The 18,815-nt window shown below is 37.4% G+C and overlaps 1 protein-coding gene across 3 annotated transcripts in view; it reads right to left on the bottom strand.

Moving 5' to 3' along the window:
• SATL1 (spermidine/spermine N1-acetyl transferase like 1) overlaps positions 1–18,815 on the bottom strand; it is a 151,496-nt gene that overhangs the window by 18,548 nt on the left and 114,133 nt on the right. The window contains exons 4-6 of one of the 3 annotated variants that reach the window (NM_001367858.2): positions 7,507–7,624; positions 6,660–6,717; positions 5,277–5,383 (exon numbers count right to left, since the gene is read on the bottom strand). The exons of 1 other annotated variant lie outside the window; for it this stretch is intronic. The gene's annotated coding sequence lies outside the window, so the exon portion shown is untranslated. Of the gene's footprint in view, positions 1–5,276; positions 5,384–6,659; positions 6,718–7,506; positions 7,625–18,815 lie in introns of those variants that run through there. One more of the 3 variants, XM_047442081.1, reaches the window with a different exon arrangement.

Raw genomic sequence — 18,815 nt, forward strand, 5'->3', positions numbered from 1 at the left:
CAAGAGCTAATATTTAGTGAATTATTTCTGTGGTGTCAGGCATGGTTCTAAGGAACACTTGTATTAACCCAATCCTCATAACAATCCAATGAGGTAGGAGATAGTCTTATCCCCATTTTTCAAGTAAAGAAACAGATTGAGAGAGGTTAAGTAACTTGACATAGGTCACACAGCTAAAAGTCCAGACAAAACAAGGAAAACCCAGTTATTTTGTTTTCTTCTGAAATGCAGGCAAAGAGATGAGATAATTTTGCTGTTTACTTTACAAAATCAAACAATTTGCATAATTTGTTGTGAGAATGGATGAAGTTTGTCTTTTACTTTCTTAGAGGAAGAGGCAAGTAATAGGTTTCTGGTTGATGTCTTTAATAAGTAAAGTTAGAAAAATGCAGTTTCATAATCTAGAATTGGTTAATGAGTTTATTTTGCATTTTCTTTACATGAGTTGAAGACTATTTAGATATTTGTTTTTTGTTATTTTTAAATAATATTGGGTTTGAACATAATGCATTTGTGTTTTTAACGGAACATACAAAAAATACATTTTTGCTTAAAGTTACTTATTAGAACAATTTGTCTCATCTTGGAAACTCAGAATAAGACTGGCTCCATCAAACATTCAAAAATCCACTTTAATTGGTACACCATCAGGGAAAACATAGTTTTTAATAGACTATTTTTTAAAAAGCTTCAGTAGTCAGTCTTTGCCACAAGGCGGCAGTGTTATCCAGTTTAGGAACCAAAAATCTAAGAAATATTGTAAGCTTGTTTATTTTAATTTGAAGTTTTCTTTTATTCCAGGTATTAACAGAAAATTTATAAAAGCCTAATTTTAGTTTTAACATACTATTTTATTAAAGATCTAGTTTAGGTAGTGAGGTTTGTAGGCCAAGACTTCCCAAATTCTTTTTCTAAAACTTCAAAATGTACATGCATTGTCTGCTCTACCAAAATGTTTTGAATTAATGTAACATATGAAGCCACCCCTCAGAGATCTATAATACATACAATCCCCTTTTTCTGTAGGTGCTAAGTAAAATCCAGACACTTTTAGTAGCAGAATGTATCCAAATCATGAGACAACGAAGTATGTTACCTGCAGCAAATTTGTAAGGGTCTGTAGCAACCTCAATTCTGGCTTCCCCAGAAGAAAGAATTAGACTGAGGGGCATAAGGTGGAAGAAGAGACCAAGGCAAGTTTTAGAGCAGGAGTGGAAGTTTATTAAAAAGTTTTAGAGGCCAGGTGTGGTGGCTCAGGCCTGTAATCCCAGCACTTTGGGAGGCTGAAGTGCGTGGATCAGTTGAGGTCAGGAGTTTGAGACCAGCTTGGCCAACATGGTGAAACCCTGTCTGTATTAAAAATACAAAAAATTAGCCAGGCTTGGTGGTGGGTGCCTGTAATCCCAGCTACTCAGGAGGCTGAGGCAAGAGAATCGCTTAAACCTGGGAGGTGGAGGTTGCAGTGAGCTGAGATCGTGCCACTGCACTCCAGCCTGGGTAACAGAATCAGACTCTGTCTCAAAAAAACAGCTTTAGAGCAGGAAGAAAAGGAAGTAAAGTACACTTGGAAGAGCGCCAAGCAGGTGACTTGCGGGATGAAGCGCACGGTTTGACCTTTGACTTAGGTCTATATATGTTGACTTACTTCCGGGGTCTTATGTTCCTTTTCCACCAATTCTTCCCTTGGGCGGGGCTGTCTACATGCACAGTGGCCTGCTACCGCTTGGGAGGGGCTGCATGTGCAGTGTGTTTACTGGAGTTGTATGCATGCTCACTTGAGGCATTCTTCCCTTACCAGACGAATAATCCTAGAGGGTCATATACCAGTTAGACTCAGACTCTGCCATTTTGCCTTTTAATGCGCATGCTTGAGTCCACTCACCCAACTCCTGAGATCTTATTGGGAAGATGCTGACCACCAGTTTCAGGTTTTTATATCTATAGGGAGACTGCCTTTCCTGGTGCCAGCTGTGACCAATTATTATGTTAGCAAAACAGTTAACAACTGCCTGACCATCACCTGATGGTCGCCTGACATTCCTGGTCAGGAGGGCTCTCCTGCCCTGCTCATGTCTGCCTGACTAACTACTGTAACATTTTCCCCATCAAGAGTTCAAGACCCTAATTCTTTGGGGAAAATGAATGAAAGTAAGTCTTCTGTAACTGCTTCCTTTTTCCTTCTGACAGCGCGGGGCTGGTGGTGGTGGTTCTGTGGGTCTTGGACTCTTGCTACCTGTCAGGGCAGGGTGGCTCCATGGGTTAGTGAAAGTGGTATCTAGCTAGGTCCAAGGGAGTCAGGGGCAGAATTATGCCTCTGTTGTGTCCCACTGATGGGTAGTCTAGGGTTTCTTTGTAAAAGGGTGACTCTTGAATATTGAGAGGATGATATCCCTCACTGAGGATCATTTGGAGCGTGATGGCGTGAAGGCAAGAGGAGACAAATCAGGTTATTTTTTAGAAGAATGTCAAACCAGAATAATAGGCTGCAGATAGCTCAAAAAAATCCTGAGGCTACCGACATGCTGCAGTAATGCCTGCTAAGAGTTAGGTGCATGGGGTTGCTAGCTGATTTCAATATGTGCCCAGAATTAGAGTGTTGATCCACATTTTTGCATTATCCAACCCTTTTGTTTCCTCTGAGCTGCAGGGAGAGATCACTAGTTGGTTCAGAGGAAAAAGCAGGGTTAGTCTACATTGCAGACAAAAACTCAGAAACAACTGATGAGTCTAGAGCCTAATAACACGTATACTATATTTTTTAAACATAATTTTTCTGTCTCCAGTCCTCATTTGTATTAAAAACAAATCATGATAAGACTGACTTGTTTTGCAAAATAAGCTTTAGTTTTATTATACTTGGCTTGATTATTTGCATAAAGCACAGCAAGAATAATTATTTGCCATATAAGCTCCTTTTAAAATTGGCTTTGATGGAACTTTGTTCCATAAGAAATCTCAGATAAGACTTTTTAAAACCTTAAGCCCAGCCATAGGTGGGTGCCATCAAATACCATATGAGTTGTGTAAATTCCTCTCCTCTTGAGATCCTAAGATAACTTGGGATCCCTGGGCCCGTCAGAAAGTGACATTCTTTACTTACCACAGGTTAGTAACCATGTACAGGGACTGTGTATACAGGGTATGAGGCCGGTTTTCACAAGAGACTTTTATTGGCTCTCTAAGTTACATTTGATTCCTTAAAAGAAAGTATGCTGTTCCAGTCAAAGATTTGGTAAAATTACTAGTGGCTCTAATTTTGTCCCATTACAAAAGAAAACAGATTTTTATTGCACTTATAAAAATAACTGTATTGTTATAAGTTAAGAATATTCACAAACAGTTTCCAAATTACTGAGAAACCAGGTAGAGAGGAACCAATATGCTCCAAATTTTATTTATAAGAGTATACTGTACTCAATTGTTAAAAGCTCTAAATAGCTCAAAAGAAATGTTTTCTTGACTCTGAAAAAAAGGATCAGCAACATTTTAAGCAAAAAGTCATTAAAGGATTATTTCAGTCCTCTATTTGTTCACTGCATGCAGTCCTGCTCTGCTTGATATTCATGAACGTTTTAGCTCTCCATGAGAGTTCTGAAAGCGTTTTCCTCTATTCTAATGTCACAATCTCCAAAGTTATCAGAAACCTGCTTTTGAGAGCAACCGTTAAAGTTCTATAGCTGATTATAAAACCACATTTTTAAGAGGATTAAAACAAGACAACAATTGTCTGTGGATAACAAAAAGTCTTAGGGCAGTGAGAGTCAAAGACAAAATTGAAAAGGAAATGTGTTACCTCTGTGGGACACAATAATTTAACACAACATATACTAAGTTATATCAGAATTACAGAAGGTTTGCATAACTTTGAAACGCATACCAATAACACATTTATAGAAATACAGTCTAAAGAAAGCCAGATTTTACCTTTGCGTTAGTGTACTATTGATGTCAAACCCAGTTCTTAATAAAATCTTATAGACAAATCTATACAATCTTAATCAGTTTGACCATAAGGTAGGATTCTTATAAAACTTTTATAACCCTTTACAATTTTCTGTCAAAGAGCAGAATTATCTCTTTTGTCTGATTCCCATATCTTATGATCTTTAAGGAGATGAGTAGCCTATTTTTTAAATAACTGCCACAAGGGGGCTGGACTTCCTTCCCTTTGAATATGAACTTGAAGGTCTTGATGCATACTGGGAAGGGGTTGGAAGTGATTAGAGAAATGGAGGCTACAGGAGGAAGTGGAAGGAAGTGAGAGGAATATTCATGGAAAGCCTTCAAATGCTTGAAAAAACAGCAGCCCTTGGATTCCAGAGGGTAAAGTTTATTTGCCCTCTTGACCTAATGGAGGGAAATTTGCAGTACTTGGGGCTTGAGGTAAGAACTTGCAAATGGCAAAGGAAGGATTTCTCCTCCTCCCAAAGGAGGGCTAACTCAAAAAAAGCAAATAGGTGAGTTCCTCAAAGGGCAACAGAGTGAGGCCCTATGCAGGCAGACAAACTGCTTCAAAAGCCACTGGAATACTTGGCCCTGTGGCATAACAGGAATGAAAAGTATATGGTAAGTCATAAACAGCTGGGACAGCTGGGGTTCCAATTAGTGTCTGTCCTGGCAATGTGCCAGAAGACAGGAGAAGGGTTGGAGGTCATCTGAGCTGGTAGGTTAAAAACAGGTATAAATCTCAGGGGATATCCACAGAGGAGCCCATGTTTTTGCTGCCAAGAAAACGTGGCAAGAGCTCTGGGTGCAAAAATAACAGGGAATGTGTGTTTAAGAAGTCACATGGCATGTGAAGTGTAACTAGAGAAAAGGCAGACTTGCCCCCAAGGTGTACATTCTGGCAGGTGCACAAGGCCATTTCAAAACACACACAGAGAGAACAGGAAAATAGGCAGCGTGGGTTCTTTGGAAAGAGCCGATTTTAGTTGAACAAGCTGAAGAAACCCCAGACATTGCACAGTTTTAGGCTTTCGCTCTGCCACTCTCATGAGCGTCCTGTCCAGGAGGGCCATTAATGTTTCAGTTCTAATCAGTGTGGACCCCAGGATCCTTCCCACCACCCCTGAAAGCCACACATCAGGGTGAGCTGAGATCAGCCAGGGGGAGCAGAGCCATTTGTGGCTGAGAGGAATCATTCTAGTGGTTGGTTAGTAGGCAGGAGAGTGAATAGGGAGAAGAAAACTGCATATGGGGGTTGAACACCTCTAGCCAAAGAATGAAAAGTATAGAGGTTACATGCCTCTATAAAGTGAAGTGGAGAGGTGTCTTACCACTGGGAAATGTATCCAAGTCACATGACACCAAAGTATGTTAGCAGCAGATTATATCCCAGTCGCATGGCATCAACGTATGCTACTGGTGGTGAATCCATGTGGGTCTGCAGAACAAAGAATTGAGAGGCATAAGGCAGAAGGAGAGACTGAGGCAAATTTTAGAGCAGCAATGAAAGTTTATTAAAAAGCTTTAGCACAGGAACAAAAGGAATTAATGTACACTTGGAAGAGGGCCAAGCAGGCAACTTGAGAGATCAAGTACAGGGTTTGACTTTTGACTTGGGGTTTTATATGTTGGCATACTTCTGAGGTCTTGTGACCCTTCTCCCATGACTCTTCCCTTAGGGTGGGCTCTCTGCATGTGCAGTGGCCTTTTAGCACTCGGGAGGGGCTGCATGTGCAGTGGAATCCTATGCATGCTCACTTGAGCCATTTCTTCCCTTACCAGCCAAATGTTACTAGAAGGTCATATACCAGTTAGACTCCACCATTTTGCCTTATAATGTGTATGCTTGAGCCCACTCACTCAACTTCTGAGAGACAGGAGAGACAGTATTTCAGAGAAACAGTTAACAACCAACTGACCATCACCTGATGGTCGCCTGACATTCCTGGAGGGCTGGGGGGTCTCTACTGCCCTGCTCATGTCTGTCTACCTACCTACTCCAATAATAGGTAGTCTCTAAAACAATAATTGGTCACAGCCAGCACCAGGGAAAGGCAGTCTCCCAATAGATAGAAAAACCCAAAACTGATGATCAGCAGCTTCCCAATAAGATCTCAGGAGTTGGGCATGTGGGCTCAAGCATGTGCACTAAGAGGCAAAATAGTAGTGTCTAACTGGCATATGACCTTCCAGGAACATTTGGTTGGTAAGGGAAGAATGCCTCAAGTGAGCATGCGTATAACTCTAGTAAACATACTGCATGTGCTCCCTTCCCAACCGCTAGTAGGCCACTGCACATGCGGGCAGCCCAGCCCATGGGAAGAATCAGGGGATAAGGGACACAAGGCCCCAGAAGTATGCCAACATATAAAACCCTAAGTCAAAGGTCAAACCGTGTGCTTTATCTTTCAAGTTGCCCACTTGGCCATCTTCCAGGTGTACTTTACTTTCTTTCATTCTCACGTTAAAGCTTTATAATAAACTTTCCCTCCTGTTCTAAAACTTGCCTCAGTCTCTCCTTCTGCCTTATTTCCCTCAGTCAAATTATTTCTTCTGAGGAGGCAAGAATTGAGGTTGTTGCAGACCCACATGTATTTGCCACTGGTAACAACTCCGGCTTGGTTTCATCTAAATAAATACTTGTGATTAAGAAAGGCATTTGTAGAATCTTCATCTAGAGCAAGCAGAGTTTAAATTTGTAAGAATCTTCTTACCTCAGAGCCAATATTGTTTTTTCTCTCCCTTTTAAGTTCATAGGCTTTTTTGGTACCCCTGTAAGATTCAAACAGGAAGGAAGAGAGAGAGAAAGGGAGAGAAAAGGAAAGGTTAGGGGAAGGAGACCTTAAAGCAAGGAGCCAGACTGGAACAGAGCTGACAAGTGGGATAGGTTCTGAAATAAGAACTTGAAGTGCTTTAGAGATATTCATCCATAAGCAACAATTACTTTTTAAAGTAATATTTACTGTATTATATTTTATTAAAGAATGCATGTTCATTGTAGAAAATATCTATGACAGGTAGACAGAAAATTACCTCTAGAGTTTGTTGTAATTGGAAAAAAGCACACTCAAGAATTTGAATTTTCTTCTTTTCCAGATATCATCAGCAAATTTTCAATTAAGGGAAAATCTCTCTCTTTGTTTTTGCTGTCTCTTTGCTTAGCTAAGGGTGGAGATCAGGGACAAAAGACTTTTTTTGTTTATAAAAGTTATCCAGCAGTAACCTTTTGTGAAACGCAAGATGGATCTGGGGGCTAGTCTGGGATAGGGGCTGATAATGAAACTGTTTTGCAAATAAAAAAAGAACTTAGCTTTTTTTTTTTTTTTTCCAGAGTGCAGTCTAGAGAAAGAGGCTGAGAAGAGGGGTTAAATGTAAGGTCAGAGCTCTTGGCATGAGGAGCAGAACCTGGCAAAACGGGTAGTAGGCTGAGGCCTAGGGCACAAAACAGCCAGTAAAAGGTTATCTTTAAGATGTCAATATTCAGTTTTAAATGTTTTCCTATTTGGTGCTATCTGGAAATATGTCTACCTTTTCCCCAATACTTTAGTTAAAGTTGCTTACCACACACCAGTCTTGTATTTGCGGTAGTGCATTTGGGGGCATGAAAGTGAAGGGATGAGGAGCCTGGACTGAGTCATGAACAGGTTTATAAGAAGAAGGTAACCCTGGAGAAGGAAGGCTGAGTAAAGAGAATAAATCTTGTTACCTGGGATGGAAACTCAAGACATTTTGTTATTACAAAAATAAGTGACTCCAGAAGATTGGAAGACATTTAGGTCACTTACAAAACACATAAAATAGAAATGAAAAATTGCTTAGAATCCTATCTGGAGATAACCACTAGTTACATTTCAGTGACTATCCTTCTACTCTTTTCTTTTTAAATACATAGAATGAATTTTTAAATAAAATTGAAGTCATAGTTGCTTTTTTTCACTGAAAAATATATTGTATTCTTGAAAATCACTGGGAGTAGATTTTAAGTGTTCTTATCACAAAAATGATAAGTATCTGAGGTAATACATATGTTAATTAGCTTGATTTAGCCATTTCACAATGGATACATACTTCAACACAGCATGTTGTACACGATAAATATATACAAGTTTTGTCAACTAAAGTTAATTAAATACATTTTTATAAGCAAACAAATATTGGCATATATATATCATTAGTCTTCCACAGATCCATAGCATTACATATAATATTTCAAAAAATTATTATCATTCAACAAATACTTATTAAACATTAAGTATGTGCCAAGCTGTTTGAGGCAATGCCAAACATTAATCAAGTGCCAGGTACTATGGCAAATGCTTTTTATACATAATCCCATTTATTCATCACAATGAGTTAGGCATAAGGACCCCAATTTCACAGATAAATAAACTGAGGCTTAGAGAAGCTACAGTCCCTGGGTTCAGCTCCTGTCACTGTTGTCCTCTTTCAGCACCTCTGCTCACATGTGATCCTCATCCCTTCACTTTCATGCCCCCAAATGCACTACCGCAAATACAAGACTGGTGTGTGGTAAGCAACTTTAACTAAAGTATTGCGGAAAAAGTAGACATCATGTGCCCACGATTATAAACCTTTAAAATGATTGAGCCAGGTTCCAGATTCAGAGCTAGTATGACTCCAGAGCCCACTGCTCTCCATCAGATGCTGTCACTTCACCGCTTAAGTATATGTTTTCATTTATTTAACCAATCTCATATTTGATGTGCATTTTAATTGTTTCCCATTTTGTGGCATTAAACAATGTTCCAGGAAACATATTTGTATAATACATTTTAAAATAAATATCGCTTTAAATATTTCTTGGAAACTCTGGAGGCTTTTTGTAAAAATATCAGTTGACAATGCCTAGAAAAAGGCCCTATTTAAGATGCTTAAATACCTTGCATTTGATATGTAAGTCAGGGAATGCCAAGTTAGAGCCTACTTTTTATGTTAAAAAAATCTGGTTTTACTTTAGCTCCTCAAATACTTTAAGGAGAATCAGAGGAAATTGGTGGAGAAAAACTATCCTTAAGAGGGATTTTGGATACCATTAGTAACAATTAATGATACTTAAAATATCTAGGTATTTTTATTTTAATAACCAAGAATAAAATGAAGTTTAGTGTCTTCTTAAATTAAGCGAATAAAAGGCTAAAATAAAAAAATGTTCAAGTACTAGAATAGGATAATTCAGCATATATTTATGAAGTAACTTGTTCTCACTTTGAGTCTTAATTATGAAGAACTTTAATTTAAATCCCGCTTTTTCTCCTTCAAATAGTCCTCCTTTTAAACTGCCTAGTAACCCAACAAAATATTACTGTAATCTTGTTGTTTTAGTCTCTTCAAATATCCCTGTTCCTGTGCTAGTACTTTGAGAAAGCTTGTCTCTCCACAGTATGGTTGAGGTGAAATGGGGCAGATACTACAGCTGTGACCCCAGAGAAATTTTTATATTCCCTTTATTTGTACTCACAAATCTTACTAACCTTTGACTATTTACTTACTGTCTTTCTGGAATGTCCCCGGTTTAGAAGGAAATCCCAGCTCCAAAAGAGGAAAAATACCAGTCTTTCTGTACTTCCAATGAAGAAGTGATATTTGTGGAAAAATTGAGAGGTAAATTTAAAAACTGTTCAGAGGAACGTAATTTTGGGATGAAAGGGACCAAAAAGAGCTAACAAGTTTGATGAAATTGAGAAATTGGTTTACTTTGGGATTATTGGGAAACATCCAACATAGCAGGAAACAAAGTTAGAGGAACTGCATTTCCAGAAATTGAGTTTATGTTAATGGTGGTTGATGAGAGAATCCTGCTTCATTTAAACTTTGGAACTTGAAAAATCATAGCCATAAACTATCTTATGTAATATCTTGAAACATTATCAAAAAGGTTTTTACAAGAAATATTGTGCTTAGTTAATAAGTACTCATTAGATGCTAGTGATTTAGCAACGTATACTTGAAGACATTTCTTTTCATCTATGAGCCTTTCTATTACAAAAAATATTTAGAGTTGTCTGTCATAGCAAGGCGTGAAAGACAAATGGGGTCCTGCTTAAATTGACCTGAGACCTTTTGAATCATCACCTATGGTGATGATACTCCCAACATTGTAATGGCCTTCAGTTGGCTGGAGTATATAAAATCTTGGAGGATAATCTCAGAATACAAGATGCCGTCAAATATGGAAAGAGGTAGTAGAAGAACAATGAACTGGGCAAAAGCAAAATAAAAAGCAAAACATAACAAACATAAAAAATTGTAAAGAATTAGCTCTGTGCTTCTTAGTAACTTTGAGACCTTAAGAACCTTAACCTCCATGAGCTCAGATGTTTTATCTGTAAAATGGAAATGATAACACTTGCCCAACCTACCTCATAGATTTTTTGTGGGGATCCATTCAGATGAAAAAATGTATAAGAAAGTGCAAATGTAAGGGATTGTTATATGATTTATTTTATTTTTATTTTTTGTGGGTACACAGTAGATGAATTATTATATTTAGAGAGAGAATAATATGTATATATAAATATATGTATGTATATAAATATATAAATATATACTATATAAAAATATATGTATGTATATAAATATATAAATATATACTATATATAAATATATATATTTCTTGTTATTAGCTATTTCTTGTTAGTATATAGTATATATATAAATATATATGCTATATTTATATAGTATATCTATTTCTTGTTAGTATATAGTATATATACTAACAAGAAATAGCTAATGGACCAAGAATATGACAGAAAATGATTGAATGGTCCTTCTTAATCTTCTTGACCTCCTTCTCCTCCACACCTCCCTTAAGTCTTATTGATCCCTATGGTACCAGTGTTGGTTACCATCTTGAACTATCCTCTTCATGGGGGGTGTCTTGTCGACCACTCTCCTGCCCCCTACCCACCTTAAATTCTATGTGGGGGTGGGGAATGGGGAGTTGTTTAAAGGGTAAAAAGTTTTGGTTAGACAGGAGGAATAAGTTCTGGTGATCTAATGTACAGCATACTAACTATAAATAATAATAATGTATAATATACTTGAAAATTGCTAAGAGAGTAGATTTTAAATGTCCTCACCACAAAAAATAAGAAGGATATAAGATGCTGGATATGTTAATTAGCATGATTTAATCATTCCAATGTATACATATATCAGAACATCGTGTTGTACACCATAGATACATACAAATTGTCATTTGTCAGTTTAAAAATAACTAAATAGGTAAAAAAAAAAAAACCCTCAACTCTTTAGACATATTGAACTTCTTTCACTTTCTTAGTGCAGGCATTCTCTCTCGCTCTCATATTCAGGCAAGTCTTTCTTCTTGTTATGCTCTTATTTACCTCCCAACCCCCAACTTTCAACTGTCTAGTTAATTCTTACTCATTGTTCATCTCAATTTAGATGTAACTTTTTGCAGACGTCTTCCCTGACATCCTTTAAACAAAGCTGCCCACCATACACTTTCCTTTGCACCCTTGTTCTTCTATAAACTGCCAAAAGAAAACATCCAAATTAGAACCACCTATGGAGCTTATTAAAATGTAGATTCCTGGGATCCACCCTCCAGGTATTCTGATTCAATGGATTTGGTGTAGGGCCAGTCTGCAAATTTAACATGCATCCCAACACTCTGAAGTTTAAGAATCACATTCTGTCATACTACTTATCACCATGAGTTAAAATTGTATACTTCTGTCTTCCCTCTAACCTATAATGAGAGCTGGGACCCTGCCTGTGTTGCTTACCACTGTATTCCCAGAGCCTGGCATATTGTAAGCACTCGATTCATATTGGAACAAATAAATAAGTGTACAAAAAAAAAGAAAAGAAGAAGAAATAAACTTTTCTTTTTCCTTACAACTTTTATTTTAGGTTTGTGGGAGTACCTGTGCAGGTTTGTTACATGGGTAAGCTGTATGTTCAGGAGTTGGGTGTACAAACTATTTTGTCACCCAGGTGATAAGCATAGTACTTGATAGGTAGTTTTTTAATCCTCACCCACTCCCCACACTTTGCCCTCAAGTAGGCCCCAGTGTCTATTGTTTTCTTGTTTGTGCTTGTTTGTATTCAATGTTTAGCCCCCACTGATAAGTGAGAACATGAGGTATTTGGTTTTCTGTTCCTGCATTAATTTGCTTAGGATAATGGCCTCCAGCTACATCCATGTTGCTGTAGAGGGCATGATTCCATTGTTTTTTATGACTGCACAGAATTCTGTGATGCGTATATATCACATTTTCTTTATCCAGTCCACCATTGATGGGCATTTAGGTTGATTCCATGCCTTTGCTATTGTGAATAGTGCTACAATGAACATATGTGTGCACATGTCTTTATAGTAGAATAATTTATATTATTATTTTTTGGGTATATACCCAATAATGGGATTGCTGGATCAAATAGAAATTCTGTTTTAAAATCTTTGAGAAATCTCAAAACTGCTTTCTACAGTGGCTAAGCTAACTTACATTCCCACCAGGAATGTGTGTTTCCTTTCCCCCACAACCTCACCAGTGTCTGTTATTTTTTGATTTTTTAATTATAGCCATTCTGACTGGTGTGAGATGGTATCTCATTTTGGTTTTGATTTGTATTTTTCTAATGATCAGTGATATCAAGCATGTTTTCATATGCTTGTTGCCCATATGTATGTCTTCTTTTGAAAAGTGTCTGTTCATGTCCTTTGCCCACTTTTTAACGGGGGTGTTGTTTGTTTTTTAGTTGTTAATTTGTTTAAGTTCCTTATGGATTCTGGATGTTAGACCTTTGCTGGATGCATAGTTTGCAAATATTTTCTCCCATTCTGTAGGTTGTCTGTTTACTCTGTTGATAATTTCTTTTGCTGTGCAGAAACTCTTTAAGAAACAGTCTTCTAAAGTTGGAAGGACCACATGAACTCTGCATGACCCTTTGAACCCTGAATATCAATGATTACAAAGAAACATCCTCTAAGAACACAAACACTAAACGAAAACATTTACCTACTCCTGGTTTCCCTGTCATAGTAATTGCCAACTATGATTTCATATCAGTCTTTTAATAAAAACAGCTGATGATTTTTCAGAAACAATAAAAGCATGGACACAACACAGCAAACTGTTAACTCTGGTTACCACTGAAGAGTAGGATGGTGGGAGGGTAAATGATTTGGGGTTTTACTTTATATACTTCTGTATTTTTTAAGTTGGAAGTATATATTACATTAAATTTTTTTAATTATGAAAAATAAAATAATTGTTTTAAAAAGTCAAGGACTGTGTTATTGACTCCATGATTTATAAATATGCTAGCCTACAAAATACATTTGGATAGTTGTTTACAATCCAACTTTGTGATAATTAGATATTAGAAATTGATGTGGAGCTATTTAGCTTTGAATATTTGCTTCATTCCTTTGTTTTGTCACTTTTTAATATTACCCCCAGGCATATCTTTTACATTATAGATTCAATGGAGAAGTTACATTAAGCAGATATTGAAACTATGGAGTAGAGTGAAGAGCATTAGCTTTGAAGTCAAACAGTCCTCAGTTTGAATTCTGGCATTGCTGTTTAATAATTCTGTGACATTAGAAATGTTACTTAATCTTTCTGAATTTCAGTTTCCTCATCTTTAAAATGATGGTAATAATACCTTCCTCACAGAACTATTGTGAAGAATAAATGTGAGTTTACATATAAAGTGTTTAGCATGGAGCTAGGTGATCAATAAATGCTAGCTTTCCTCTCCATTTTGTTCATTAAACAAATATGTACTTAGCACCCATATGTTGTGAAGCAGGTTCACTAATAAGTAACCCTAAGAGAAGACTCCCACTGTGTGGAGGGTAGCAAAGATCATCACTATGCCAACCATAAGGAATAGGGGTCCAAATCTTTCTGCCCACTGCATTTTGGGCTGCAGCTTTATTTATTGCCTGAGTTCAATGAGAGAACACACATAAAACAAGTTATATGAAGCAGATTTATTACTTATAGATAGTAAGCAAGGGACAAGAGAAGTCTTTGGATCCATTGTGAGCTGGTGCCCCAAGGCTCAATAAATCTACCCAGGGTGGATGGAGTCTTGACTGCACGTGCCCCATTTGTACCACAGCTGAGGGACCCCTAAAGGATGTCTACTCTGGGTTTTATACCTCAGGAGTAATATGAATCATTGAGAAAGGTTTTTAAGGACACTGCTTCCAGAGGTGAAAGGAACCAAAGCCAGACTGTCCCGGGCAGTTTCTCTCTCACTCAAGGAGAGACAGGAATAAGACCCAGGCTGTTTCAGGCAGTTCTTCCTTATCTTAGGATATTGCATACCCAGGGTACTTTATAGTTATTTTGAGAACTATAGGCAAGAAAAAGAATAGACTGGGTTGGCCAAGGCTACCCAGGGACCATTCAGCTCATGCCAGACATCATTTTATGCATTGGAGATACATGGTACACAGACATTAAATTATATATACCTATCTATTTAGTGAAAAAGTACAATAAGTACCATGAAGAGGAACCACAGGATGGTATGAGAGAGTATAACAAAGATATCTAATTGATTTTTGTTTTAGTTTTAACGTGGAAATGTGGGTACCTTCCTTGGGAAGTGACAATTACACTGAGTAGTACTGGGCCAGGCAAAATGTGCAATCAAAAGCAAAAAGAACACTGTATTGCTTTAATCTTAAGTATGTCCTTTTTTTTCTTCCACTTGAAGGTAAAAACACATAGGAAAGTGTGTGTGTGTGTGTGTGTGTGTGTGTAAGAGACAGAGAAGAATGATAGAATTGTCCATTGCCTTATGTAAATGGTGTAAATGGTAGATACAACTTATAAACTCTGAACACATGAGAACATATCTCAAGTCAATCTATGATGAGCCCATAGGAATTTGCTTAAACAAACATCTACAGCACCATACTATTCACTGTATAGATATCAGATGAAAAAAATTTTTAAATATATATATATATAGCCAATCCATTATTGAATCATTCAATTAAAATCCTTACCAAATATGTGATCCATTGCAAGCAGTGTCTTAAATTTCCACATTTAATTCTTTATGAATTATGATCTGTCTTCTAAGAGTACTTAGTCAATCTCAGGGTAAAGAATTCCCTGGCCAGTGATGGATGCCAGGGGATTCAAGTTATGCTTTACTCATTGTAATCCTATGTTACCCTTGATCCAGAAGATCTCTTTAGGGCCAAAAAGGATTTCAGGTCTTTTTCATTACAGGCCCAGCAAACCCTAAATGATCTTGAAGATCCCAGAATTGACCTACCCTCACAAGAGTTAATCTGAGGATAAATGCAAACCACAATACATTTCAGGCTCTTCCTCCCCTTCTGTATCTCCAATCTGCTTCCAAAGGAGCCCATCTTTCCTTTGAGCTTTTTATCTTTTACATCTTCCCTATCATCCATCACCCCAGCTTAGATTACTGCAACAGCTTCTCATTTGGTCTCCCTAGCTTCAGCCTTTCCTACTTTGTCAGTCCTTCCTGTGGATCTAGATTATTAATCATTTTATGTATGTTTTACTCACATGTAAAGCATTGGGTACTTGGAATTTTTCTAAACATTACAAACATATTAATTCATTTAATCCTACCAATAATCCTATAATATTGGTGAGGAACCTGAGGCACAGGAGAGGTTAAAGTAAGTTGCCTAAGACCACATAGTAAGTAGTAAAAATCAAATTGAAATTAGACAATCTAGCACCAGAGTTTGTGCATTTTACCACTACTGCCGCTTTCGGTATAATGAGACAATCTCTAGCTACTCTAGCCCTACTGATCTTCTTTTATGTGGATTATAAACTGCACCACTTTAGTATTTTTTGTATAATTTTTTATGCCTATTGATTTGGACAGTCCAACCAGGGTGTAAAATTCTCAAGGAGCAGCAACCACATCTTATCAAAATTTTGTAGCCCTCAGAACCCCTAGCACAAATTAGGTACCTAGTAAATTGCCCAGGACTTGAACCAGCCTCCAGGGGTTGGAGTACCAAACGATGGCCTTTATTCCTTTCATCACAAGTTTTACCCCCCCCACCACACCCCTCCCACCCCATTTTGGGTAAGCTGATATATACCATTATAGGAAATGTATTCACTGTAGTTAGAATGACTCATGTATCAAAATTCAAAGTTACTTTGAAACACTGGTAAACTGACTCAGGGAATATTTTAATTTATCAACTCAACTTCCTTGAAGTCGGCCATCATATAATTTTAATGTATTATTTTGCAAAAAGGAAAGAATAAAATTAAACAGTTAAATTCTTGTCACTAACTTGCTGATTCAGAGTCCTATGCAATATACTGTGATCTAGTGTACAATTTATAGTCAAAAGACTTGAATACTATTCCCTACTCAATATTTTACTAGTTATATGTTTTTAAGAGGTTACTTAATCTCTCTGAGCCTGATCCTCTACCGCCTCACTTCACCCCACTCCTGTTTTCTCATCTATAAGGCAGGGATAATATTTGCCTTACCTCAAAGATAACTTTGAGGATCAAAGAAGACAATGTTTCTGAAAGTCCTTTTTAAACTCTAAAGCACTATATAAATGTAGGTTGTATTATTATTCATAGTATCAGATCCAAGAACCAAGGAATGTTAGTTTAGATTTAGTTTTGTCTCTATTCCATGCCATGTGATCTGGATGAAGGCATTAACTTCCCTGTACCTCATTCTTTCCATTTGTAAAACGAAACAGCTTACAATTTTAATCCTTTGTGATCTAATTCTCTTAACTTGCTCCATATCCTGTTGGCAAATAACACAAAATCTGTTTTGTTACTGGACTTTTTCAATCCAAATGACTACCAATGCATGAAGTGAATTATTATTATTTTTATTATACTTTAAGTTCTAGGTTACATATGCACAACATGCAGGTGTGTTACTTATGTATACATGTGCCATGTTGGTGTGCTGCACCCATTAACTCATCATTTACATTAGGTATTTCTCCTAATGCTATCCCTCCCCAGTTCCCCCACCCCACGACAGGCCCCAGTGTGTGATGTTCCCTGCCCTATGTCCAAGTGTTCTCATTGTTCAATTCCCACCTATGAGTGAGAACATGCAGTGTTCGGTTTTCTGTCCTTGTGATAATCTGCTCAGAATTATGGTTTCCAGTTTCATCCATGGCGCTACAAAGGACAAGAACTTATCCTTTTTTTATGGCTGCATAGTATTCCATGGTGTATATGTGCCACGTTTTCTTAATCCAGTCTATCATTGATGGACATTAGGGTTGGTTCCAAGTCTTTGCTATTGTGAATAGTGCCACAATAAACATATGTGTGCATGTGTCTTTATAGTAGCATGATTTATAATCCTTTGGGTATATACCCAGTAATGGGATAGCTGGGTCAAATGGTATTTCTAGTTCTAGATCCTTGAGGAATCGCCACACTGTCTCCCACAATGGTTGAACTAATTTACACTCCCACCAACAGTGTAAAAGCCTTCCTATTTCTCCACATCCTCTCCAGCACCTGTTGTTTCCTGACTTTTTAATGATCACCATTCTAACTGGCGTGAGATGGTATCTCATTGTGGTTTTGATTTGCATTTCTCTGATGACCAGTGATGATGAGCATTTTTTCATGTGTCTGTTGGCTGCATAAGTGTCTTCTTTTGAAAAGTGTCTGTTCATATCCTTTACCCACTTTTTGATATGGTTGTTTGATTTTTTCTTGTAAATTTGTTTAAGTTCTTTGTAGATTCTGGATATTAGCCCTTTGTCAGATGAGTAGATTGCAAAAATTTTCTCCCATTCTTTAGATTGCCTGTTCACTCTGATGGTAGTTTCTTTTGCTGTGCAGAAGCTCTTTAGTTTCATTAGATCCCATTTGTCTATTTCGGCTTTTGTTGCCATTGCTTTTGGGGTTTTAGTCATGAAGTCCTTGCCCATGCCTATGCCTGAATGGTATTGCCTAGGTTTTCTTCTAGGGTTTTTATGGTTTTAGGTCTAACATTTAAGTCCTTAATCCATCTCGAATTAATTTTTGTATAAGGTGTAAGGAAGGGATCCAGTTTCAGCTTTCTACATATGACTAGCCAGTTTTCCCAGCACCATTTATTAAAAAGGGAATCCTTTCCCCATTTCTTATTTTTGTCAGGTTGGTCAAAGATCAGATAGTTGTAGATGTGTGGTGTTATTTCTGAGGGCTCTGTTCTGTTCCATTGGTCTATCTCTCTATTTTGGTACCAGTGCCATGCTGTTTTGGTTACTGTAGCCTTGTAGTATAGCTTGAAGTCAGGTAGCGTGATGCCTCCAGCTTTGCTCTTTTGGCTTAGGATTCTCTTGGCAATGCAGGCTCTTTTTTGGTTCTACATGAACTTTAAAGTAGTTTTTTCCAATTCTGTGAAGAAAGTTATTGGTAGCTTGATGGGGATGGCATTGAATCTATAAATTACCTTGGGCAGAATGGCCATTTTCATGATATTGACTGTTCCTATCCATGAGCATGGAATGTTCTTCCATTTGTTTGTGTCCTCTTTTATTTTGTTGAGTAGTGGTTTGTAGTTCTCTTGAAGAGGTCCTTCACATCCCTTGTAAGTTGGATTCCTAGGTATTTTATTCTCTTTGTAGCAATTGTGAATGGGAGTTCACTCATGATTTGGCTCTCTGTTTGTCTGTTATTGGTGTATAAGAATGCTTGTGATTTTTACACAGTGATTTTGTATCCTGAGACTTTGCTGAAATTGCTTCTCAGCTTAAGGAGATTTTGGGCTGAGACGATGGGGTTTTTTAAATATACAATCATGTCTTCTGCAAACAGGGACAATTTGACTTCCTCTTTTCCTAATTGAATATCCTTTATTTCTTTCTC

This window comes from Homo sapiens, chromosome X (genome assembly GCF_000001405.40).
Source record: "Homo sapiens chromosome X, GRCh38.p14 Primary Assembly".
NCBI classification, from domain to species: domain Eukaryota; kingdom Metazoa; phylum Chordata; class Mammalia; order Primates; family Hominidae; genus Homo; species Homo sapiens.